The sequence below is a fragment of the Homo sapiens genome, chromosome 2 (assembly GCF_000001405.40).
Source record: "Homo sapiens chromosome 2, GRCh38.p14 Primary Assembly".
In the NCBI taxonomy this organism is placed as follows: Eukaryota; Metazoa; Chordata; class Mammalia; order Primates; family Hominidae; genus Homo; species Homo sapiens.
In genome coordinates this window covers 63,985,110-64,012,900 of record NC_000002.12, presented here as the reverse complement: position 1 = coordinate 64,012,900, position 27,791 = coordinate 63,985,110, and the positions used below count along the sequence as shown (strand labels likewise).

Here is a 27,791-nt window from a genome sequence, read left to right as displayed (position 1 = left end):
AGGCCACGGAATGTAGAAATCAGGTCATTCCTAACCTTTTCTGGAGCCAAGTAAATGGTGAAGATGGAAGACAGCTAAGGAAGTAGACCAAAAAGAGAACGGAGGTTTGCCAATGAAGGGGAGGTGAGAAGTAGTAGCTGGAGGAGGCAGGGAGGAGGGAAAGGGCCTTCATTTGGTGCTTGAAATTTTCTTTTCTTTTTTTTTTTTTTGATGGGCCGATGAAGAGATTAAAGATAGAATTGGGGAATAACTAATAGAAAAAGGTCCCAGATGAAGCAGGAAGAGGTAAGATCAAAAACAGCTGTTGGGGGATTAACTCTGGAAAAGAGTAGACACCTATACTCTATCTCAGAAAGTTAAGAGTTGTGTATAGATGAGAATTAGGTACATTTGGATATGAACGGAAAAAACTACATCTGGGGACTTTTTTTTTTTTTTTTTTTTTAAACAGTTACTTTTTGAGCCTTGCGTTGTTGGAAGTAGGCTAGGGGACTTGAGGAGAGTGATGAAAATGTTCCACATATTGTGGGGAATGGAGAAGAGAAGTGTTTCAAGATAAATAAGTGAAAGAATTGCTGAGCAGCATCAGAGGCTCATCTGAGATTGGAACTCATAAATTTGTAATCAGCATATTTTACTGTTTTTTCTGGCAGTGTTCTGCAAGCAGGAGAAAAGCAAAGACACACTGTATTGAAGGTGGATGAGGGAGGAGAGATGCAAGGGAGATGAAGTAATGGGGATGTAGGCTAAGTAATGAAGTTAGTAAAGTAGAGCAGGGCTAAGATAGCCAACCAGTGGTGAGAGATGCAAGGGTAATGCCAAGGAGTGATTAATTAAAATACTAATTTATTGTTTGTTTGAGGTTATAGTAATCATAAACCCTGTATTTACTTTTCCCTTAAACTAACATTTAATATTTTTATTTGTAAACTATTTACTGACTTATTGCAGATGTTTCTTAGCTATTTTGCTTTATTTTCCCTAAAATGAAAATTCCTTGAAAGCATCATCTTTGTTACTTAATAAGTATCTAATAGTTTATATATTTGAGACATATTTATTCTTCAGTACCTCTGAATGAGAGATTTTAAGATTATCTTGCTAATATTTTTGGCTGGGACACCAAGAAGAGAATACCAGTGTCTAATATGGTTCATTTTGACTGACAAAAATTTCACTAGTAATACAATCGTATCAGTGGCCCAAAGGAGTAAGAAAGCATCCAAGCTATTTTTTGTTGTTGTTGGAATTTTTACATGCTAGAGACAGATTTTATCTTAGTATAGTTTATTCATATTCCAGGCCTGTGACCCTTAATCAATTTTTTTTTTCTTTTGAGATGGAGTCTGGCTCTGTTGCTAAGCTGGAGTGCAGTGGTATAATCACGGCTCACTGCAACCTCCCCGTTCTGTGTTCAAGCGATTGCTCTGCCTCAGCCTCCCGAGTAGCTGGGACTACAGGCGTGCACCACCATGCCCGGCTAACTTTTTGTATTTTAGTAGAGACAGGGTTTTACCATGTTGGCCATGATGGTCTGGATATCCTGTCCTTGTGACCTGCCTGCCTCAGCCTCCCAAAGTGCTGGGATTACAGGCATGAGCCACCGTGCCCGGCCTCCCCTTAATTTTAATGGCTGCTATAATGTTATAATTCTCTGAGTGCTGGGGAAAAAAAGACATTGCTTTTATTTGGAATAATATCTAGACTTAAAAAGTATATATTTTATGAGGATATTTATGATTTTTCTTCCTGATAAAGATATCACATGAAATAGCATTTGTTTTATAAGCCATTTAAAAATATTTAAATTTAACATTACAAATTGTTATAATTTTTATCCTCCTAGTCAATATTATTTCTTATTGTTTCTTGTCACTAAATAAAAAGTAAATAAGCAACTTTAGGAAGCGCATGCATTCAGAGTTTCCTGCAAAGCACAGGGTTTCATAAATGCCATATGAGGATGTAAAGAAAAAGAAAATTAGATTACTACAACTTTGTTCTTATTTTCTGGGTTCCTTAAGCCTCTTCCATACTTCTTTAATGCTCAAGAGGACTATAGAAGTACTTATTTATATGACAGCCCCAATGTTAGTATTTCTTGAGATTATGTTTAAATTGTACCTTCAATATTGAGATTTTTGTGAGCAATAATATGTGATACGCATTTTAAAAAAATTTAAAGATTTTTAAAAATTATGATTAAACTAGATTTTGTCAAATGATAAATAGTGTAGAAGTATATTGCTATTTGTGTATAGGTAGTATGAAAAACTTACATTTGCCAGAAATTGGCTTTTACATTTCAAAAATGTTGTGGAAAGTACTTCTTAGAACATGAGATATTTGATGTATTTTGTAGGCAAACAGCAAGAAACCAACTGAAGGATGAGATTAAATAGGAACAAGAAAAGGTGGTGGAGAAAGGAGGGGGCAGAGTTTTTACTATGGTAACATAAACTCCTGAGTTCTGTCAAACTGATCTTTGGTAGGACATTACAGTGTGGTTAAGTTTTTCTTGCATATTATCAGTACTTGTAAATTTGGAGAAATGAAATTTGAGATTTTTTTGTTTGCTTTTAAAAAAACAGCAGTCAGTTGTGGACTTTTAAAAAAATTAGGTCCAAAATTGTATCAAAATTATGTCAAAAAAGCTCTGTCCAGCTCCAGTGTTAAAAAGAAATTCCACTTTATCCATGTTTTCTCAAATTATAAATAGACTTTTTTTAAAAAAGTTCATTTATAAGTCAATTATATGGGGCCAGGCGCGGTGGCTCACGCCTGTAATGCCAGCACTTTGGGAGGCCGAGGTGGGCGAATCACCTGAGGTCGGGAGTTTGAGACCAGTCTGGCCAACATGGTGAAACTTCGTCTCTACTGAAAATACGAAAATTAGGCAGGCAAGGTGACAGGCGTTTGTAGTCCCATTTTCTTGGGAGGCTGAGGTAGGAGAATCAGTTGAATCCAGAAGCAGGAAGTTGCAGTGAGCCGAGATCACGCCACTGCACTCCAGCCTGAGTGACAGAGCGAGACTGTCTCAAAAAAAAAAAAAAGGGTCAATTATATGGAATTCAGAAGTTGTTGTTGTTGAAATGGCCTCTCTCCACTGCCTTGGTCAGAGTGCAGTGATGCCATCACAGCTCACTGCAGCCTCAACTTCTTGGGCTCAAACTTTCTTGAAAGTGCTAAAATGATGCGCCAAAGTAGTATATTTATCCCACGTTACAGGTGCACAATTACTCCTTTGGTAAGAAAAATGCAGTAAATTACACTGATGAAAATGTAGGCTGGGCATGGTGGCTCACGCCTGTAATCCCAGCACTTTGGGAGGCTGAGGCAGGCGGATCACCTGAGGTCAGGAGTTTGAGACCAGCCTGGGCAACATGGTGAAACCCTGTCTATACTAAAAATACAAAGATTAGCCGGGTGTGGTGCTGGGTGCCAGTAGTCTTAGCTACTCAGGAGGCTGAGGCAGGAGAATCGCTTGAACCCGGGAGGCGGAGGTTGTTATGAACTGAGATCTTGCCACTGTACTCCAGTCTAGGCGACACAGCGAGACTCCATCTCAAAAAAAAAGAAAAGAAAATGTATAGTATCTTTTTTCTTTTGGAATAGTCCTGGTCTTATAAAATTGTCACAATTAGATGTTAATTATTTCTATCATTCAATAGAAGATGAACATAAGTAACAGTTATGAGAGTAAATAATTATTGATTCAGTCATTGATCTGATAAGGAGACAAAGACAGAAGAGGAAAGCACCAGGAGCCTGAAATGGGTGGGAAGGAGTAGTGACATAATTTAAAATTTTTTTATTGGTGCAGAGACAGAGGCATGAAACTTAGAATCAGAAAATCTGAATTCAGATTCCCTCTTCACAGTTAACTCACTGAATGGTCTGAAATCAAGTTACTCTAGAACTTGTTTCTTCATTCATATAATGGAGATCGTTGATTCATTGATTCATTCAGAAATATTTTTCTTACTAGGTTATTTTGAAGATGAACAAAAACATCTGAAAGTAAGCTATTATGAACTGTATAGTGTTCACTGTATTTGACTGTATAGTCAGATATTAGTGATGATGCAATTCTTCTTGTCTTTCCATTTCATTCTTCCCTGTCATCCTTCCTTCTTTCATTGATAGCGTATTTTTACATGCTCTTGATCTAGCGCTTCACAGAACCTTCAGAGCCTGCAGTCCCAGCTGATTTCCACTCCTCCTCCCACTCACACATTGGGCACAGGAGTAGGGTGTGAGGCAACTTTTCTAGGTCAGCCTGCTTATTTTCTCACTGTTGACTGACAAAGTCCTGTCTTTCTCAAGGTGTGACATAAACCTGAGGTGCCTTTTAGTCCCTGGGCTTGATATTCTTTCTTTCTCACTTTGCCTCTCCTTTTCCCATCCCCTCTCGCCCCATTCCTGTGTGTATGTAACTCTGACCATCTCCTTTCTCCACCACTTACTTGTTCCTTTTTTTTTTTTTTGAGACGGAGTCGCGCTCTGTCACCCAGGCTGGAGTTCAATGGCATGATCTTGGCTCATTGCAACCTCTGCCTCCCAGGTCCAAGCGATTCTTGTGCCTCAACCTTCTGAGTAGCTGGGATTACAGGTGCATGCCACCATGCCCGGCTAATTTTTCGTATTTTTTGTAGAGATGGGGTTTCACCACGTTGGCTAGGCTGATCTTGAACTCCTGACCTCAGGTGATCTAACCACCTCGTCCTCCCAAAGTGCTGGAATTACAGACATGAGCCACTGCGCCCGGCCTCTTGTTCCTCTTTAATCTCACCCTTCAATTGGCTTCTTGCTGTTTGCCTACAAATATGGTCAGGTCTCCGATAGCCTAAAAGATTCTTGCTCAACTCTTGTTCTTTTTTTTTTTTTCCTTTTACCACCAAAGAGATGTTGATATTGTTGCCTTTATTACTTCATCACTTACCTCTTAACCTCAGTGGGATTGCTTCTTCCCTAACCACTGTCCTGAAACTGTTCTTAATCCAGTATCCTTTCTAAAGTTAGTAATCTCCTTGATCTCTTTGCAGCATGTTGATGCTACTTACTGTTCGCACTTTACTTCCTGACACATCTTCCCTGTGTAAGGATGGTATTTCTGATTGCCTTTGTCTTTTCCTCTAAACATATTTGCCCTACCCCTTCTTCAGAGCTTTCATTAGCTCTCTTCTTCGGCACTTTCTCCATTTGTAATATCACTTTCCTGTGACTATCTGTAGTTATCTACTAATTCATTCCTGTAATGTAATTGAACTAGAAGCAGTAATGGAAAATTCAGGGAAGCAGGATTCTGTTCACTACAAGAATATTTTTTCTCCAAAGTAATTATGGTTGTTTTACAGTAGTACTCTGCTTTTAAAGTAGTTAATTCTTCATTATTGAAGTTTTCAAGTAGAGGCAAAAAGACACCTTGTAGAAAGGATTTATATATGAAGTAGAAAGTCAAGCCAGATATTCTTTTAAAGTCTTGTCCAACTCAAAAATTGTAATTTTTATCTCGTCTACTCTACTTCCATGGACTTAACTTTGACCTATGCTCAGATGTCTTCCAAACCATTATTTCCAGTCACTCCCCTACCACCTCCTCGTCTGTCTTCTCTCCCACGGGCACAATTTTGTCATCAAAGTTGCTTATGTTCTAGGCCACCATATTTTCTAGCTTCATTATCACTTTCCAATATTCTTTTTACCCCCTTTAGTGGCAAGGCAATGAGGATCATTTTTCTATGCTTTGGTGACTTTTCTGAAAGTAAGTTATGTCTGCCCATATTGGTTTAGTTTGTTATTGCTGTTTTCCCTCTACTTTCTCCTACCCACCACCTCTCTCTCCAGGATTAGGAATGCTCAAGCAAAGAAAAGGACGCCAGAAGAGGAGGCTCAGGATCCTAAAGTTTGCATTTATTTTAAAATTTTGCATGGCACAGTTGAAATGTTAATGTTTGCTGACCATTTAAAAAGTAAGATGTTTGCCGGGCGTGGTGGCTCACGCCTGTAATCCCAGCACTTTGGGAGGCCAAGGCGGGTGGATCACCTGAGGTCAGGAGTTCAAGACTAGCCTGACCAATATGGCGAAACCCTGTCTCTACTAAAATTACAGAAATTAGCTGGGCGTGGTGGCATGCGCCTGTAGTCCCAGATACTCAGGAGGCTGAGGCAGGAGAATGGCTTGAAACTGGGAGGCGGAGGTTGCAGTGAAGCCGCGATTGCACCACTGCACTCTAGCCTGCTGACAGTGAGACTGTCTCAAAAAAAAAAAGTTTATAATAATAGTTGTTGCAATTATTTATTGAATGTCTACTATGTACCAAGTATTATGCTATGAACTCACATAAGTTATTTCATTTAAATCTTATGACATTCCTATGAGGAAGATACTGCTGCTGTCCCATTTTACAAATTAGGAAACAGACTTAGGAAGGTAAGACAGTTGTCACACAACTAATAAATGACAGTGATCTAACTGATTGTATGGCCAATACTCTTAACTAGTATATCGTTTTACAAGGAAGGTGGAGATCTAGAATCAAATTTCAGAAAGTCAAGTAATGTTAATACAAACAAGGAAATATATTTTGGATTTATATTTTTAGATTATTTGAAATGTATGTGAACCTTTTGAGGTATTGTGTTAGTGGCTTGTGTGTCTTACACACTTTCTGTGATATTCATTCATTTGCTCATTCGTTCATTGAATAGTCATGCAGTTTATTGAATGCTTAGACTTTGTATTGGGTGTGGTATAGGAAAGTGAATGAAACAAATATAAGTAAGTAAGTTTACAGTATAGTGGGAGAGATAGGAAACAAGCAGGTAAATAATCACATAATTTATTTTAGTCTAGAGTAGTTTCCCACCTTTTTAAAATGACTGAGTATCCAAGCCATTTTCTTAATAGACTATCTCATACTCTTAATTTGTCTCATTGTTTCCTCATATATGGTGGTTTAAACCTTACTATCCTACTTCCTTCTATTTACTGTAAACTCAAAGGTAGGTCTAGAGCAAGGGTGCTGAACCTTGAGTTCACAGACTCTTGTAGGGTCTGTAGAATTCAGGGAATCTGTGAACTTTAGATGGGGAAAAAATTACATCTTTATTTTAACTTATTCCCTAACTCAGTGGTTCTCAACCGGGGTGAGTTTGTCTTCTCCTTCCCCAACCCTAGGACATTTTTGATTGTCACAGCTGGGTGGGTACAAGATAGTCCCTGATAACAGAATTATCCCTTTCAAAATGTCAGTAGTGTCAAAGTTGAAAAACTCTGCCCTAACTGGATTTTAGCATTTCCTTTAATTAGGAATATAAGAAACGCTTCATGGATACAGTATGGACAGTACATTTACAGTACCTGTAGCTTTGTCACCAATAGAAATCTCAGGTATTCTCATATCACATTCAATTGCTACAGATATCTTAAGATTTAATTTATGCTCATTTATTGCCTATAAGGTAGTTACTAGATTCGTATTAAGAAGCAATAGTAGGCTGGGCGCGGTGGCTCACGCCTGTAATCCCAGCACTTTGGGAGGCCGAGGCGGGCGGATCACAAGGTCAGGAGATCGAGACCATCTTGGCTAACACGGTGAAACCCCGTCTCTACTAAAAATACAAAAAATTAGCCGGGCGCGGTGGCGGGCACCTGTAGTCCCAGCTACTCGGGAGGCTGAGGCAGGAGAATGGCGTGAACCTGGGAGGCGGAGCTTGCAGTGAGCCGAGATTGTGCCACTGCAATCTGGCCTGGGCTAAAGAGCGGGACTCCGTCTCAAAAAAAAAAAAAAAAAAAAAAAAAAAAAAAAGAAGCAATAGTAGACTGGGCATGGTAGCTCATGCCTGTAATACCAGCACTCTGGGAGGCTGATGTGGGAGGACTGCCTGAGCCCAGGAGTTCAGGACCAGCCTGGACAACATAGTGAGACCTCGTCTCTACAAAAATACAAAAATTAGCCAGGTGTGGTAGTGTGCACCTGTGGTCCCAGCTACTCAGGAGGCTGAGGTGGGAGGATCGCTTGCACCCAGGAGGTTGAGATTGCAGTGAGCTGTGATTATGTCACTGCACTCCAGCCTGGGTGACAGTGAGAGCCTGTCTCAAAAAGAAGAAATAATACTATGTTATAATTTAAACAGTTATTATTGTAGCTGTAGTTCAGTATAATTGTCCATTGTAGTGTTGTGTGTTTTATGCATTTAAAAACATTATTCTAAGAAGGTATCCATAAACTTCGCCAGACTGTAAAAGAAATCCACAGGACAATAAAGCTTAACTCCTGATCTAGAGATTGGATTGGATTGGATTGGATTAAACATTTTTGAAGAGACTATTTCATAGGTAATGATGTTTATTTCCTATTTTGTCATTTCATGAATTACATAATATCAGGTTGTCCTCCTGTTATCAGTAATGTTAACTTTAATGACTTATGTAAGGTGGTGACAGCCAGGTCTCCATTTTAAAGATACATTTTCCCCTTTGTGTTGCTAAGTAATCTGTGAGGTAATACTTAGGCGCCATGAGAATATAATGTTTTTAACAACTTTTCACCTAATGGCCTTAGCATACTTTGGTGATTTTTGCCTGAATTAGCTTTTACATTGGGGGTTGCAAATTGGTGATTTTCTAATTTGGTTATTCCTTTTATATTTATTACTGGCATTCTTCAGTAGAGATTTTCTTTCCCCACCCCCTTTCCTTATCTTTTTTTTTCTCCCTTAAGTATCTCTATGTATCCATTAATTTTTACTTATTCCATATGTTATACTCTATTACTTTTAAAAAAATATGCTCAAGTTGTCCCAAATGTGGCCAGTGGGAACCCCCTTTTAACTTGGTCCTTTGTCCTCTTGATAGGTCCTGCTGGTCTTTGAGCATATCTTGCTTTCTGACACAAGAGTGCTCAGGGTAGACTTATTCTTTCTGTATTCCATGTCTGGAGTTACATATTCTTTCAAAGAGTCCTGGTTCTTTTAGTTGGAAGTGGTATTTAGAAACAGAAGTCTGGGCACCACGTGTGTTCATTGCTTGGTGGGGTTCTGGCTGGTGGTTGGGGTTGGGGGAGGCAATGCTTCTAGTGCCTTTCAAAAGAAGTTTTTAACTGAACATAAAAAGATATTTTGAGCTATAAGAAAGAAAATCAAATCTCTATTTACTCATCCTTGGAAATCCTTTTTTTTTGGAATGGATGATTGTTTTTTCTTTTCCTTATTAGCCCAGACCCATTCTGTTATTACTTAAGTATTATTGGCAGCTGTCTGTCTGTTTTGTCTGTCTGTTCTGATATGTTCTACATACCATCCATTTCATTCATCTATAAAATTTTTATTATATGTATGACAGGAACTGTGATAAGCAAATAGAATACACAGAAAAACAGAAACATCAAGAAATGCAAAGCCTGATAGGGAAGAACTGTATGAAAAGCAAAACCTCAGTATGATTGATGCAAAAATTGAAATACATAGAGTGACTAAGTGTGAGAAACCAAAGAAAGCTTCAAGAGAGAATAATATTTGAACATAGTATTCATACAATTATAAGGAGATTACCATGTGAAAAAGGTAGAGCTATTTATAGATTCTCATTACAATTGTTAAAATGCCAAATTTGTTTCTAGATGGTAGTTAACTTGAACTATCAGAAATCAGTAGTTCCCTGTGTTTAGTGCTTAGAGCTTTCCGTTTTCCTGTATTTTGTGTATTTTGTTTGCTTGTTTGTTTTTTCGAACTGATTTTTTTTCTGAGTAGACAAACTATCATTGCTTATCCTGAAACCTTCTTAAGGTTTCTCATCATTTTTGTTCTTTAGCCTTTCAATGAAAGATTATTTCTTTGCTGAAATTTTGTGATTCAGATGCCATGTACATTTGTTGTATTTGTCTGTACATCTACATCTTATGAATAAATCCATGTTTTCTTACCAGTGATTGTACTTTTATAATTATGTGATGATCAGTACAAAGTTTGGTTCTTACTGTAGGGAGATCTTTTTAATAATAAGCTGTGGATGGTGAAGGCAGTGAAGAGTCAAATGTTTGGAAACTGGGACTCATCTTTATAGGCAGTCCACTAGTTTTATGTAATCCCCTTTTACTAGAGATCTTCCCTCTTGTTATAAGAATTAAGAGTGGTATAGGAAAAAAGAGAATGTGCATATGTTTTCCAAGTCAAAATCTTTAAAGAGTAAACCATGTGTTTTTCTCCTCAGATACAGAAATAACTTAGAAGAATCTAGAAATATTTTTCTGCCATCTCCCTGCATATTTCTAGGTTTCTAAAATGGCACTTAGGATTTTTTTTCTGTAAAAACAGCATGGTAAATAGAATAAATCAAGATATCAACATAGTATTGTCAGAATGAATATCTAATTTATCTGACATTAAGCAATGGATGTTTAACATAAATACATTTTCCACATGTCTGTGGCTTAACACTTCATGTCAAAATGTATTTATTTTAGATTTGGGGGTACAGAGCAAGATGGTGGACTAGAAGGCTCCACTGGATGTCCCCCTCCATAGGAACACCAAATTTAACAACTACACACCAAAAGCACTTTCATAAGAAACAAAAATCAGGTGAGCACTCACAGAACCTGATTTTAACTTCATATTGCCCAAAGAAGCACTGAACAGGATAGGAAAGACAGTCTTGAATTGCTGACACCACCTCTCCCCCATCCCCCATGCAGCGACTATGTGGTGTGGAGAAATTTGTATGCTTGGGATAGGAGGAGTGCAGCAATTGTGAGACTTCTCATTGAATGCACTATAACAGCAAAAAGCAAAACCAGGGTGAACTCAGCTGATGCCCACACATGGAGGGAGCATTCAGACCAGCCCTAGCCAGAGGGGAATTACCCATCACAGTGGTTGGAACTTGAGTTCTGGCAAGCCTTGCCACTGTGGGCTGAGGTGTGCCGGGGTCCTAAATAAAAGGCAGTGTAAGCCAAAAGGACTGCAAGTCCTAGTGCTGAACTGGGCTCGGCACCAGTGGAATTAGGGGCACATGACTTACTAAGACATCAATTGGAACACCTAAGGGAGTGCTTGTGCCACCCCTTCTCCAAGCCCAGGCAGCCCAGCTCACAGCTCTAAAAGATATCCCTACCTTCTGCTTGGGGAGAGGAGAAGGAAGAGTAAAGAGGACTTTTGTCTTACATCTTGGATATCAGCTCAACCACAGTAGGATAGGGTACTGGTCAGGCCCCCATTCTAAGCCCTAGCTCCTGGATAACATTTCTAGACACACGCCTGGGCTAGAAGGGAACCTGTTGCCTTGAAGGGAGGGACCCAGTCCTGGCAGGATCCATCCTGTGCTGACTAAAGGGCCCTTGGGCCCTGAATAACTAGCAGTGATAACCACGTAGTACGCCATGGGCCTTGGCTGAGACTCAGACATGCTGGCTTCAGGTGAGACCCAGCACATTCCCAGCTGTAGTGGCTACAGTGAGAGACTCTGCTTGAGAAAAGCAGATGGAAAAATAAAGGGGACTTTGTCTTGTATCTTAGGTATCACCTTGGCCATAGTGGGTTCAAACACCGAGTGGGCTCTTGGGGTCCCTGATTCCAGGCCTTGGCTCTTGGACAGCATTTCTGGACCTGCCCTGGACCAGAGGGGAGCTTACTGAAGGGTGAGTCCCAGGCCTGGCAGCCTTCACCACAAGCTGACTGAAGAGCCCTTGTATCTTGTGAACATTGACAGTAGCCTGGCAGTACTCCCTATGGGCCTTTGGTGGTGGTGGCCACAGGGTGAGGCTCCTCTGCCTGTGGAAAGGGGAGAGAGAAGTGGGAATGACCGTGTCTCATGATTTGAGGGCCAGCTCAGCTGCAGTATAATAGAACACCAGGTAGACTTCTAAGGTTTTTGACTGATTCCTAGCTCCTGGAGATAACTTCTGGACTTACATGAGGACTTGGGGGCACTTGCTGTCTTGAAGAGAAGGACAGAAGCTGGGCTGGCTTTGCCACCTGCCGATGGTAGAGCCCTAGGTCCTTGAACAAACATAGGCGGTAGCCAGGTAGTGGTTACGGTGGGCCTTGGGTGAGACTCAGTGCTGTGCTGGCTTCAGGTCTGACCCAGTGCAGTGCCAGTGTTGACCACAGGGTGCTTGTGTTGCCCTGCTGCAAGCCCCATGCAGCTCAGCAGAAAGAGACTTCATTTGTTTGGGAGAAAGTAAGGGAAGAGAACAAGAATCTCTGCTTGGTAATCCAGAGAATTCTTCCAGATTTTATTCAAGACTACCAAGGTGGTACCTCTACAAGTCTGCAAGAACCACAGCATTACTGGGCTTGGGGTGCCCCCTAAAGCAGATACAGCTTAAATCACAACACCCAAATCCATTAGAGTATCTGGAAAGCCTTCCCAGGAAGGACAGGTACAGATAAGTCCAGACAGTGAAGACTACAATAAATAACTTCAATGTCCAGACACTGAAGAACATCTACACCCATCTACATCATCCAGGAAAATATGACCTCTCCAGATGAACTAAATAAGGCACCAGGGACTAATTCTGGAGAAACAGAGTTATGTGACCTTTCAAACAGAAATCAAAACAGCTGTGTTGAGAAAACTCAGAGAAATTCAAGATAACACAGAGATGGAATTCAGAATCCTATCAGATAAATTTAACAGATTGAAATAATTAAAAATAATTAAACAGATATTCTGGAGTTGAAAAATGCAATTGACATACTGAAGAATGCATCATAATGGCTTAAAAGCAGTTGATCGGCCGGGTGTGGTGGCTTATGTCTGTAATCCCATCAGTTTGGGAGGCTGAGGAGGGTGGATCATGAGGTCAGGAGTTCGAGACCAGCCCGGCCAACATGGTGAAACCCTGCCTCTACTAAAGATACAAAAAATTAGCCGGGCAAGGTGGCACATCCCTGTAATCTGAGCCACTTAGGAGGCTGAGGCAGGAGAATTGCTTGAACCTGGGAGGCAGAGGTTGCAGTGAGACGAGATCGTGCCATTGCACTCTAGTCTGGGTGACAGGGCGAGACTCCATCTCAAAACAAAAAACGGCAGTTGATCAAGCAGAAGAAAGAGTTAGTGAGCTTGAAGACAGGCTTTTTGAAAATACACAATCAGAGAAGACAAAAGAAAAAAGAATAAAAATAAGCACACCTACGGGATTTAGAAAGTAGCCTTGAAGGGGCAAATCTAAGAGTTATTGTCTGTAAAGAGGAGGTAGAGAAAGAGATAGGGGTAAAAAGTTTATTCGAAGGAATAATAACAGAGAACTTCTCAAACCTAGAGAAAGATATTAATATCCAAGTACAAGAAGGTTATAGGACACTAAGCAAATTTCACCCAGAGAGGACTAACTCGAGACATTTAATAATAAAATTCCCAAAGACAAGGATAAAGCAAGGATACTAAAAGGAGCAAGAGAAAAGAAACAACATACAATGGAGCTCCAATATGGCTGGCAGTAGACTTTTCAGTAGAAACCTTACAGGCCAAGAGAGTGGCATGACATGTTTCAAATGCCGAAGGAAAAAACCTTTTACCTTAGAATACTATATCCAATGAAAATATCCTTCAAACATGAAAGAGAAATAAAGACTTTCCCAGACAAACAAAAGCCAAGGGATTTCATCAGCTCCAGACCTGTCCTACAAGAAATGCTAAAGAGCTGGCCAGGTGCAGTGGCTCACACCGGTAATCCTGGCACTTTGGGAGGCTGAGGTGGGTGGATCAGCTGAGGTCAGGAGTTGAAGACTAGCCTGGCTAACATGATGAAACCTTGTCTCTACTGAAAAACAAAAATTAGCCAGGCATGATAGATAGTCCATGCCTGTAATCCCAGCTACTCAGGAGGCTGAGGCAGGAGAATCACTTGAACCTGGGAGGTGGAGGTTGCAGTGAGCCAAGATGGTGCCACCGCACTCCAGCCTGGGTGACAGAGTGAGACTCTGTCTTAAAAAAAGCTAAAGGGTATGTACTTCAATAAAAAAGAAAAAGATTAATAAGCAAAAAGATACCATCTGAAGATGTAAAACTAACTGGCAATATAAGTACACAGAAAATCATAGAATATTATAACATGATAACTGGTGTGTAAACTAGCCTTAATTAGAGAAATTAAAAGGGGCCAATAAAAAATTATAACTATAATTTTTTCAAGACATAAGGATAGTAAAATATAAATAGAAACAACAAAAAGCTATAAAGTGGGGGGACATAGTTAAAGTGCAGAGTTTTATTAGTTTTCTTTTTGCCTATTTATACAAGCAGTGTTAATTGTTATCTGCATAAAACAGTGGGTTATAAGATAGTATTTGCAAGCCTCATGGTAACCTCAAATCAAAAAACATGGAACAGATACACAAAAAATTAAGAAACCAAGACATTAAGTCATAACACCAGAAAAAAATCACCTTTACTAAGAGGAAGACAGGAAGGAAGAGAAGACTACGAAACAACCAGAAAACAAAAAACAAATGGCAGGAGTAAGTCGTTACTTATCAGTAATAATATTGAATGTAAGTTGACTAACTCTCCAATCACAAGACATAAAGAGGCTGCATGGATAGAAAAACAGGACCCAGTGATCTGTTGCCCACAAGAAACACACTTCACCTATAAAGACACACACAGACAAAAAAAGGGATGGAAAAAGATATTCTCTAGTAGTTATCAGACAAAATAGATTTCAAGACACAAACTATAAGAAGAGACAATGAAGGTCACCATATAATGATAAAGGGGTCAATTCAGCATAGGATATAACAATTGTAAATATATATGCACCTAACTATTGGAGCACTCATATATAAAGCAAATATTAGAGCCAAAGAAACAGGTTGGAAATAAAGAAGACAATTCAAATAATATCAAGCATCTTCTCTGACCACAATGGAATAAAACCAGAAATCAATATTAGGAATTCTGGAAACCATACAAACACATGGAAATTACATAATATGTTCCTGAATGACCAGTGAGTCAATGAAGAAATTAAGAAATTGAAAAATTTATTAATAATGGAAACATGACATACCAAAATCTATGAGGATACAGCAAAAATGATACAAAGAGGAAAGTTTATAGCTATAAGTGCCTACATCAAAAAGAAGAAAAACTTTAAATAAAAACCTAATGATGGATTTTAAAGAAAGGGAAAAGCAAGAGCAAGCCAAACAAAATTAGTGGAAAAAAAGAAATAACAAAGCTCAGAGCAGAGATAAATGAAATTGAAATGAAGAAACAGGACAAAAGATCAATAAAACGTTGGGTTTTTGAAAAGATAAAACAAAACAAAACAAAACAAAAACTGACACATCTTTTGCCAGACTAAGAAAAAAGAAGACCCCAAAAGATCAGAGATGAAAAAAGGAGATGCTAAAACCGATACCACAAAATTCAGAGGATTATTAGCGGCTACTGTGAGCAACTGTATGCCAATAAATTGCAAAATCTAGAAGAAATGGATAAATTCCTATATACGTACAATCTTCCAGGACTGAACCATGAAGAAACCCAGGGTGTGAACAGACCAATAACAAGTAATAAGATAAAAGTTGTGATGAAAAGTCTCCCAGTAAAAAGTCCAGAACCTGAATGGCTTCACTGCTGAATTCTACCAAACATTTAATGAGGGTCTAGTACCAATCCTACTCAAACTAGTCTGAAAAATAGGAGGAGGGAATACTTTAAAACTCATTCTACGAGGGCAGTATTACCCTGATACCAAAACCAAACAAAGACGCATCAGAAAACGAAACTGCAGGCCTATGTCTAACGGGGGAACCAGCCCCCTGTATTTCAACATAGGTTCTCTTCTATTTTCCCTAAGTGTCGGCCAGTCTGAGAAATAAAGGGAAATAGTACAAAAGAGAGAAATTTTAAAGCTGAGTGTCTGGGTGAGACATCACATGTCAGCAGGTTCCGTGATGCCCCCGAGCCATAAAACCAGCAAGTTTTTATTAGCAATTTTCAAAGGGGAGGGAGTGTATGAATAGGGTGTGGGTCACAGAGATCACATGCTTCAAGGGCAACAAAATATCACAAGGCAAATGGGCAGGGCAAGGTCACCAGGCCAGGGCAAAACTAGAATTACTAATGAGGTTACTAGGCAGGAATTTCCTAATCCTAATAAGCCTGGGGGTGCTGCAGGAGACTAGGGTGTGTTTCATCCCTATCTACAACTGCATAAGGCAGACACTCCCAGAGCGGCCATTTTAGAGGCCCCCCTCCCCGGCCGGGAATGCATTCTTTTCCCAGGGCTGTTAATTATTAATATTCCTTACTGGGGAAAGAACTCAGCAATATTTCTCTTACTCGTTTTTGGCAATAAGAGAAATATGGCTCTGTCCTGCGTGGCTTCCAGGCAGTCAGACCTAATGGTTATCTCCCTTGTTCCCTGAACATCGCTGTTATCCTGTTCTTTTTTCAAGGTGCCCAGATTTCATATTGTTCGAACACACATGCTTTGGGAACAATTTGTGCAGTTAACGCAATCATCACAGGGTCCTGAGGTGACATACATCCTCAGCTTATAAGGATGATGGGATTAAGAGATTAAAGTAAAGACAGGCATAGGAAATTATAAGAGTATTGATTGGGGAAGTGATAAATGTCCATGAAATGTTCACAATTTATGTTCAGAGACTGCAGTAAAGACAGGCATAAGAAATTATAAAAGTATTAATTTGGAGCACTAACAAATTGTCCATGAAATCTTCACAATTTATGTTCTTCTGCCATGGCTTCAGCCGGTCCCTCCGTTCAGGGTCCCTGACTTCCTGCAACATCTCTCCCTTTCTTTTTATATAAATGTGCCATGGTGATGAAGGCTTGTTCTCTCGATTTTGACGCAGGATTCTTTGACTGGTCCAGCACACTAAAGACAAGCCGATTAAACAGGGAAACATAATTCCGAAATTTACTACAGTGGAGCCCCCAATAGACTTAATCCAAGTTGTGGGGTTTAGTCCAGAAAGATTTTCTGCCACCTGATCTAACGCCTCAGCTCCAGGCACAATGGATAAATGAGCTTGAGAGACTTCAAAAATTTGTTTATTTAATTTAGTCATGTCCAATGATAAATTATCTTCCCTACCCAGAAGGTGTCCTTTGACCATTTCCCATGAATGATCAGTCTCGTTATAGGAATACAGGGTGATACGGAAATCTGAAGTATTCCAGTCGCACTGCATTTGCATGTGATGTTCGAGACTCACTACCCGATCTCCAAGCCAAATAACAGACTGTCTTAAATCATTAATTTGATTAGCCAATTTTTGGTCAATGCCTTGTTGAGAATTCAACATTTGGTGGAATTGGCTTGCCAGTCATTAACAAAATGAGCTGTTTGAATAGACTGATGTAACGCCATTCCGGCAGTGGTGGCCATTGCAGTGACTGTAATTAGGCCCATGATCACAGCAATTAAAGTGAAAACAAATCTCTTAGATCTTTAAAGAATTCGCTGTAACACTTCATTAATTAAATGTATTGAGGGGGAGGATTCCCAAGGTCTGGGCAAAGTTACCGGAATCCAGATTTCTTCTCCAGCTCGAACCAACATTATACTTTTCCTGGAGTCAAAATGGGAGTTAATACAAGTGTATAAATGACAATGCATTGGACAGTTTGATTCTTCGTCCAAATTTTGATATTTCCCACTAATGGCATGTAAGGAGGCTTAACACAACTCTTTGTGGAAACAGGTTGGAGGTAAGTAAAACAGAATGTCTGGATCTACGTTGATAGTGAGAGAGGGGGACGGTAGCAGGGACAACAGACAAAATAGTTTCCCCTTCCCATACTTGCAGTCCAGACATGGCAATAGCCAATTTCTAAAGTTGTGGGTGTTCTGGACTCAGAATGGGGAATATCATACGAGGCCTCAGATGGGGGTAATGCCTTTATCTTCCCATTTTAAGGAAAAGAATGAGCTGAACCTCCTATGCAAAGTAGAATGATGATTCTCGTTCTCCCAATAAGAAATAAAATAAGTAGCCTCCAGGCATTCCCTTCCACCAGAAGAGCACTTGTTTTTTAAATAGCCCTTTGGTGCCCAGTCTATTACTAAACCATATGAGTCATTTATAAACATTACTGCATGTGAGTTAACACAATCTTCCCAAATTAAGGTTTTAGATGGGCCCTCAAAATTTTTAGGGCATGGTTTTCCTGCAGGTTTATATTGAAAGTATGGGATATCTCCCATTACTCCCCCTTTCATTTGTCTTAAAGGAGAAAGGGAGAGGCTGGAGACCAAATGTCCTGGTTTCTCTGTAGCTGATCTCTCTGGAAGATAAGCAGCCCAGACTTGAGTTTCTAGATGGATACAACCAGGTGCATGTCCGAGGCACAGAGGTGGGTGTTTGTAACCCATGGTAACATTAAATGCAGTGCCGCCTTTTCCTGATTGAGCGGGGCAACGGTCATCTGTAGCTCCAGGCATCCACACACTATCATTAGTGTAGATTTCTGCAGGAGCGTCCATCCAGGTGAGTGGTCGAATAAGTGGAGGAAAAGGCACATAAGCCCAATAAGAATAATTTTGTGTAGCCGGTAAATCAGTGTGAAAGGAAACTGGTGAGACAGAAAGTATAAGGAGGGGAATCATTAAATAAAACCTAGTGTAAGCGAGATTCAGTGCCGAAAGAGGAAGAGAAGAACAGAGGGATGTTATTTTCAGGCTAATATAAATGGTGAGATTTTTAGGTTTGTAAGGAGAAAAAGAAAGGTAATTAGGAGAAGTGGGATTGGTTAGATGGGTCTGTGTTGCCATCAGGGAGGATTGAATGAGACCCATTGTGATTTGGTGGGCCAGCTTCTAAGGAGTTGGCACAGATCTCACCACATCTGAGGGCGGTTTTTGACGCGGACGTCTTTTCCCTGTGGTTTTCCTTTGATGATCTCCTGGTGACACACAAGCATATTCTCTTTCCCACGTTAACTAGAATCAGAGACAATATTTAAAGGTTTTGGGGAAATCCTATAAGGCAGTAATTACAGCAATTTAACTCTGCCTTTTGAGCAGAGGTATAAGGGGTAGAAATAAGCTTGTTTGTAGGACCTACATAACCAGCATTTCCATTACTGGAGCCATCAGTGAACACTGTAACAGCCTCAGGAATGGGCTGATCTTTGGTCAATCGAGGGACCACCCAAGAAGTCATTTTTATAAAATCAAACAATTTGTTTTTTGGATAATGAATGTCAATAATGCCAATAAAATCAGTCAAGTGAATTTGCCACAGTATGGAATGTTGAAAGGTGACTTGAACTTCGAGCCGATTTAAAGGAACTACAATTAAATTCGGATCAAATCCGGAAATTTTAAGTATTCTACACCGAGTCTGTCCAATTAAGATGGCCAGTTGGTCCAGATAAACAGACAAAGTTTTTGACACAGAATGAGGAAGAAAACACCACTCCGCTAAATCATTATGTTGAACTATTAGCCCAGTAGGGGAGTGCAATGAGGCGAAAACCAGAAGCTGAAAAGGCTGAAACGGCTGTACTCTAGATAACTGGATGGTCTGAATTCTTTACGAATTCCAGTTCTAGTGAAGCCTCAGGGGTCAAAGTCCTGGGACTGCGGAGATTGGAATCTCCCCGCAGCATAGAAAACAAGTTAGTGCATAGGTCGGAATGCCTAAAGTAGGTGTTAAATAATTAATGTTACCCAAAAGTTTTTGGAAGTCATTTAAAGTTTTCAAATAATCTCTCCTAATTTGAACTTTTTGAGGTTGAATATGTTTATCGACCATGATTCCTAAATATTGAACAGGAGTGGTCTGTTGAATTTTGTCCTGAGCGATGTGTAATCCAGCCTCTAACACAGCAGCTCAAAATTTGATAACAGTCAATTCTTTATCAGTGGGGGCAGCAATTAAAATATCAATATAATGAAGAATATAGGCCTGGGGAAACTGGGCTCGAACTGGTGAAAGCACTTGCCCAACATAAAGCTGGCAGATTGTAGGGCTATTTAGCATTCCCTGAGGAAGTACTTTCCATTGATAATGAGCTGCAGGCTCTTGATTATTGATAGATGGTACAATAAAAGCAAATTTTTCACAATCTGATTTATGTAAAGCAATATAAAAAAATCAATAACTATGAGAGGCCAATTTTTAGGTATTAAAGCAGGGGCAGGCATGCCGAGTTGGAAGGCTCCTATAGGTTTAATTACAGCATTAATGGCCCTTAAATTGGTTACCATCCACCACTTGCCTGATTTCTTTTTTACTAGAAACACAGGAGAATTCCAGCGGGAAAGAAGGTTCCAAATTTCTAAGTTGTAACTGTTCAGAAACTAATTGAGTTAAAGCCTCCAGTTTTTCTTTAGAGAGCAGCCACTGCTGAATCCAAATGGGTGTGTCAGATTTCCATTGTAAAGGAATAGGATCAGGAGGCGTGGCAGTGGCCGCCATTAAAAAGGATAACCTAAACCAGCCCTGTCTTCTTTTATAGTAATTGGGAGGGGTTTAGTAATCCCTTCATGTTTTGGACGGAGACGGAGTCCAGGAACATACCGCATGTTTTCCATCATATGCTGACTGGGAGTACTATAAGAGTTAGGTGGAATGTTAATTTAAGCCCCAGTATCTACTAAACCCTCAAACTTTTTTCCTTGAATGTGTATGGAGGTAGGCTGTTGTTCAGAAATTACATTAATCCAATAAGCGGCCTTTTCGCTGCTGGAGCCCCTTCCAGGGCCACGTGTCTTATCTCCTTTGTTTAAAACAATATTAAGTAGTAAAAGCAATTGAGCAATTGAGTCACCGGCCGGAATGGAAACAGGAAGCTTGGCAGACACGATTAGTTTAATCTCGTCAACTGAATCAGAATTAATGAGACCAGTATGAATGGTGATTCCTTTAGCAGAGGTGGATGCCCTACCTAACACCAGGCTCACCAAACCTTGAGGTAAAGGGCCAGTGACCCCTGTGGGGACAATTAAAGGCAAAGAGTTAGGTAGTAAATTTAGAGGAATAGTGCTACAGAGATCGACCGCCCCAACCCCTAACGTGGAGGTGGACAAGCATTGTACTGAGAAGAAGAGGCTGGGACCCATCTGGGTTGACTGTAGGTAAATTTGTTTGTGGTGGGGGCTGCGTTGGGACTGCCTGAAGTGGAAATGCAATGTTGGTCTGAGTCTGAAGCATCCCATTTGATATTGGGGCCTGGGACTGGTCCCACTTCCCATTTCCCTGGTTCTGTGGTAGGGGGTTTCCATCTGTATCATACTTAGAGTGGCAAGTACTTGCCCAATGTTTACCTTGCGACGACGTGAGCAAACAGTAGCAGCAGCATTTGGCCATGTTTGTTGAGCCGGCTTGGCCGCTTTTAAGTTTTTAACAGTGCAATTTTTCTGAGTATGACCAAGTTGACTGCAATTATAGCAGGCTCCAAGAAAAGAATTAGTGGGGCCAGTTTGATTGGTCCTTCATGGCCCGTGCCCACAGAATAGCTTTGTGGGTGTCTGATCCAATGCCTTCACAAGCTTTAATATATGCAGGGAACACCTCGTGATCAGGTAAATTTTGTCATTGGATGGAATGCATGGCCATTTTACACTCATGGTTCACATTTTCAAAAGCTAACATATGAAAAAGAATACCTTGAGCATGCTCATCAGACAGATTTTTCAATGGCATCTTGTAATTTAGCTAAAAAATCAGGGTATAATTCATCATGACCTTGTTTAACCATAGTAAAAGAAACAGGAGCTTGGCCTGGGGCGCATAATTTATCCCAAGCTCTCATACACACCTTTGTTACTTGTTCTGTGGTAAGAGCATCAAAGTTTAATTGGGCATAAGTATCAGAGAAACTATCGGAGCCTGTGAGCTGAGCCTGAGTAATTAGAATACTATTAGTCCGATTTAGCTGAGCCTGCAGATGGGCCTCTTGTGACCACCAGATACGAAATTGTAAATGCTTTAATGGGGTTAGAAAAGCTTTTGCCAAAAGGTCCCAGTCTAAAGGAAGCAAAATGACCTCAGTACAAAAAGTTTGTAATACCATTTAACATAAGGAGAAGTAGGACCATACTGAGTACAAGCATCCTTAAATTCTTTTAAAAAGCTAAGATTAAGAGGTACATAACGACACATTTGTACCCTTTGGAAGATAGGAGGTTCTAGTGTGACTGGGTAAGCCCACGTGTCTAATCCACTTGTTTCTTTGTTTTGGCATAATAAGTGTTGCATTGAAGTTTCAAGAGTAGGTATCTGAGACAGAGTTGGCATAGAAGTGATAGGAAAAGCATGTGTAGATAAGGGAAACTGAGGTTGAGGGGGTCGGACCAGGATGAGAGTGTGAGAAAGGGGCATTGAGGGAGCAGAAGGAGCAGAGGTATCCTGGTGATTACTGGTGTGCATGTGTGAAGAAGGGTACAGAGAGGCAGGCTGAGTGGATGGCAAAGTGACCGGTTGAGGAATGGAAATGACAGGAGAGTGAGGGGCTGAAGTGGATGGGGTAGGGCCTGAAGAATTATAGGTAAATTGTAGTTTGGTCCTGGAGCCATTAGGTGACTCCGGAGGTTTGAAGAGAGAAGAATTAGCGTATATGGTCCCGGGCTGTCTGAGTCGTGGCCGCGGGAGCTTATAAGTACTGGCTCTTCGTGAAAAGAAACAAGGTCAGCAGGGGGTAACGTTAAGCCAAAGTCACCAGAGTTAGACATTGAATTTTCAGCATCGTTAGGTGGGGGAGGAGTAGCTGAAGGGAGAGGCTGATCAGATAACGAAGTCCATGCGGGAGAGGAAAGTTGGAGAAGAGGTGGAGGGTCCTCACATTCAGAAAATTGTGTTAACTGTAGGGGGTCACGGGATTGGTATGTCATTAGGACGACATGTACCAAGGCCCAATCACCCCAAAAAGTGACAGGAACACATTTCCCTGCCGGGAACAGCTCCTGGAATGTTGCACCAACACGATCCCATACTTTTACATATGGTTCCCTTTTCAGGAAACCAAGGACAGTATTTTTCCACCGCCTTGAATAGAGTGACCATATTTTCCATGGTTACTCGGACCCTTCCCTGTTTTAACAGGTCCACATCTAAGGTTGCTTTTTTAGGAAACCAAGGACAGTATTTTCCCACTGCCCTGAATAGAGTGACCATTTTTTCCATGGGCACTCAAACCCTTTTCTGTTTTAACCAGAGTGTAATATAGAAGAGATAAGCATAATTTTTAGACTCCGTGTGACCCGTAGTTAACCTGGACAAATTCACAGACTACTCACCAGTTGTCAGGGAGTCGAACAAGCATTTCTGTGGACCGAACCGATGACATTTCTCCGCACCTACCAAAGGGAATCGGGTTCCCACGTGCACTTAGGAAAAAAAGAAAAACCATGCTGGGCACCAGATATCGGGGGAACCAGTTCCCGATATTTCAACGTGGGTTCTTTTCTATTTTCCCTAAGTGTCAGCCAGTCTGAGAAATAAAGGGAAAGAGTACAAAAGAGAGAAATTTTAGAGCTGGGTATCTGGGGGAGACATCACATGTCAGCAGGTTCCATGATGCCCCCTGAGCCGAAAATCCAGCAAGTTTTTATTAGCAATTTTCAAAGAAGAGGGAGTATACGAATAGAGTGTGGGTCACAGAGATCACGTGCTTCAAGGGCAACAAAATATCACAAGGCAAATGGACAGGGCAAGGTCACAAGGCCAGAGCAAAACTAGAATTACTAATGAGGTTCCCGGTCCCGCTGTGCAGGCACTGTCATTGATAAACATCAGGAAACAGGGTTTGAGAGAAGATAGCCGGTCTGACTACAATTTACTAGGCAGGAATTTCCTAATCCTAATAAGCCTGGGGGTGCTGCAGGAGACTAGGGCGTGTTTCATCCCTATCTACAACTGCGTAAGGCAGACACTCCCAGAGCGGCCATTTTAGAGGCCCCCCTTCCCGGCCGAGAATGCATTCTTTTCCCAGGGCTGTTAATTATTAATATTCCTTACTGGGGAAAGAACTCAGCAATATTTCTCTTACTCGTTTTTGGCAATAAGAGAAATATGGCTCTGTCCTGCCTGGCTTCCAGGCAGTCAGACCTAATGGTTATCTCCCTTGTTCCCTGAACATCGCTGTTATCCTGCCTGTTCTTTTTTTCAAGGTACCCAGATTTCATATTGTTCAAACATACATGCTTTACGAACAGTCTGTGCAGTTAACGCAATCATCACAGGGTCCCGAGGTGACATACATCCTCATTTTACGAAGATGATGGGATTAAGAGATTAAAATAAAGACAGGCATAGGAAATCATAAGATTGTTGATTGGGGAAGTGATAAATGTCCGTGAAATCTTCACGATTTATGTTCAGAGATTGCAGTAAAGACAGGCGTAAGAAATTATAAAAGTATTAATTTGGAGAACTAACAAATGTCCATGAAATTTTCACAATTTATGTTCTTCTGCCATGGCTTCAGCCAGTCCCTCGGTTCGGGGTCCCTGACTTCCCGCAACACATATCTGTGACTATTGATGCAAAAAATCTTCAATAAAAATACTAGCAAACCAAATTCAACAACAATTAAAAATATTATTCATCATGACCAAGTGGGATTTATTTCAGGAATGTAGATAGTTCAACATGTGCAAAGGTGATACATCATATCAAGAGAATGAAGGAGAAAAAACATATCAATTGATTCTTAAAAAGCATGTCATAAAATTAAACATCCTTTCATAATAAAAACCCTCAAAACTGGGTATAGAAGGAACATTCCTCAAAACAGTAAAAGCCATGTATGACAGACCCATAGCTGTTATCACACTGAATGAGGAAAAACTGAAAGCCCTTCTTCTAAGATCTGAAACACAGCAAGGATGCCCACTTTCACTACAGTTATTCAACGTAGTATTGGAAGTCCTAGCCGGAGCAGTCAGACAGGAGAAAGAAAGAAAGCATCCAAATTGGAAAGGAAGGAGTCAAATTATCCTTGTTTGTAGATTATATGATCTTATGTTTGGATAAACCTAAAGAATTCATCAAAAAATGATTAGAAGTGATAGATTCAGTAAAGTTGCAGGATACAAAATCAGCATACAAAAATCAGTATCATTTACATATGCCAACACTGAACAATGTGAAAAAGAAATCAAGAAAGTAACAACAGCTAGATTTACAACAGCTAGAAATAAAATACCTGGGAGTTAACCAAAAAAGTGAAAAGTCTCTACAGTGAAAGCTATAAAATGTTGGTTCAAGAAATTGAAGGCAAACACACACACAAAGGAAAGATATTCTGTGTTCATGGATTGGAAGAATCAATATTGTTAAAATGTCCATACTAACCAAAGCAATCTACAGATTCAGTGTATTCCCTATCAAAATACCAATTAAATTCTTCAGAGAAATAGAAAAAACAATCTTGAAATTTATATAGAACCACAAAAGACTTGGAATAAACAAAGCTATCCTATGCAAAAAAAAGAAAATTGGAAGAACCGCATGATGTGATTTCAAATTATACAACGTATTGGCATATAACCAGACACATAGAACAGTGGAACCAAGTAGAGAACCCAGAAATAAATCCATTCATCTACAGTGATCTCATTCTTAACAAAGGACAATCTTGGGGAAAAGGACAGTCTCTTCAATAAATTGTGCTGGGAAAACTAGATATCCATGGATAGAACAATGAAACTGGACCCTATTTCGCCATATACAAAAATAAAATGGATGCAAGACTTAAATCTAAGACTTCAAACTATGAAACAACGAAAAGAAAGCCTTGGGGAAAATGTCCAGGTCATTGAAGTGAGCAAGGATTTCTTGAATAAATACCCCACAAGCACAGGCAACCAAAGCAAAAATGAACAAATGGAATCACATCAAGTTACAAAGCTTCTGCACAGCAAAGGAAACAACAAAGTGAGGAGACATCCCACAGAATGGGAGGAAAATATTTGCAAACTACCCATCTGACAAGGGATTAATAACAAGAATATATAGGGAGCTCAAACAACCTTATAGATAAAAATCCAATATGTTGATTAAAAGATGGGCAAAATATCTGAATAGATATTACTCAAGAGAAAACATGCAAATGGCACATGGGTGTATTTATCATCAGAGGAATGCAAATCAGAAGTACAATGAGCTATCTCACCCCAGTTAAAATGGCATTTATCCAAAAGACAGGCATTAAGAAGTGCTTGCGAAGATGTGGAGAATAGGGAACCCTCATACGGTTAGTGGTAATGTAAATTAGTACAATCACCGTGGAGAGCAGTTTGGAGGTCCCTCGAAAAACTGAAAACGGAGCTGTATGATCCAGCATTCCCACTCCTAAGAATATACAATAAATGAAATCAGTATATTGAAGAGATATCCATATTTATTGCAGCAGTATTCACAATAGCCTCGATTTGGAACAGCTGAAATGTCCATCAACAGACGAATGAGTAAAGAAAATGTGGTACATATACACAATAGAGAACTATTCAGCCATAGAAAAGGATGAGATCTTGTCATTTGCAACAGATGGATGGAAGTGGAGGTCACTATGTAAGCCAGGCACAGAATGAGAAACTTCACATGTTCTCCCTTATTTGTGGGAGCTAAAAATGAAAATAATTGAAACTCGAGTGATGGTTACCAGAGGCCTGGAAGGATAAGTGTGGGGGAAGGGGGCCTGGAGGAGAAGGTAGTGGTGGTTAATAGGTACAGAAAAATAGAAAGAATGAATAAGACCTAGTATTTGCTTGCCTAACAGGGTGATTAGAGTAAAAAGTCATTTTTATTGTACATTTTAAAATAACTAAAAGTATAATTTGATAGTAACACAAAGGATAAATACCTACTGTGTACTCACAAAAATTGAAAAAGTTTCAAAAATGTTTTTTGCTGTTTTATTTGATTAATGAGAAAGTTAACATGGTCAATCTTAAATGTAGAATTGTCTTTATCACTTAGTACAGTGTTTCTGTGTTGTACAGTGTTTCTTACCCTTTAGATAAGTATGTGTATTATCCTTTAGATAAAGATACATGTTTATCTCTCTTAAATATGTGTAAACTTTTATACAGAAACAACCATACACTTAATGTGTGTGGATATAAATGACAGAGGCCTTTCAAAGACTCTTAATTTTCCCAAAATAGCATTTTCATCACAGAACTTTTGCCACCAAACCTCTGATGTCTCCTTATTGCATAGAGAACCAACTACAATTTAACTATACTGTGTGTGTGTGTGTGTGTGTGTGTGTGTGTGTGTGTGTATAATTTGTCACTTCTTCCCAGTGTAAACATTTCACTTAGGTCAGTTTCCACTATAGTCAGTTCCTTAGTCTTATGATTGATTATTCAGTGTTCATTATCTTTTGTTCATGTTATTGTAGGCTTTCTGTTTAAGCACCTTGAGGAAGTTGTTTATCTTTGTGTATTTTTAAAGCAGCTTGTTTCTTACTGTTTCAGTGAATGGTATATTTGGTTATGTTTCCTTTGCTTTGAAAGTACTGAGACAGATACATATTTTTAGTTTTCCAGCAAACTAGAGGGAAGTTAGAACAGATGAACTATTTGTCATGGGTTCTTGCCTCATATCTCTGCTCCTTATTTTTTATTTATTGTTTGTTTGTTTGAGACGGGGTCTCACCATGTTGCCCAGGCTGGAGTATAGTGGCGTGATCTTGGCTCACTGCAACCTCTGCCTCCTAGGCTCAAGCAATCCTCTCACCTCAGCCTTCTGAGTAACTGGACTACAGGCATGCACCACCACGCCCAGCTAATTTTTGTAATTTTTATAGATACGAGGTTTCATCATGTCGTTCAGGCTGGCCTTGAACTCCA

General features: G+C 39.9%; 1 protein-coding gene across 10 annotated transcripts in view; it reads left to right on the top strand.

Moving 5' to 3' along the window:
• Window positions 1-27,791, top strand: part of VPS54 (VPS54 subunit of GARP complex) — a 127,279-nt gene that overhangs the window by 6,528 nt on the left and 92,960 nt on the right. For 2 of the 10 annotated variants that reach the window (XM_047444730.1, XM_047444727.1), the window contains exons 1-2: window positions 447-6,433; window positions 8,242-8,341. The exons of 6 other annotated variants lie outside the window; for them this stretch is intronic. The gene's annotated coding sequence lies outside the window, so the exon portion shown is untranslated. Of the gene's footprint in view, window positions 1-446; window positions 8,342-11,517; window positions 11,640-27,791 lie in introns of those variants that run through there. 2 more of the 10 variants (XM_047444728.1, XM_047444729.1) reach the window with 2 other exon arrangements.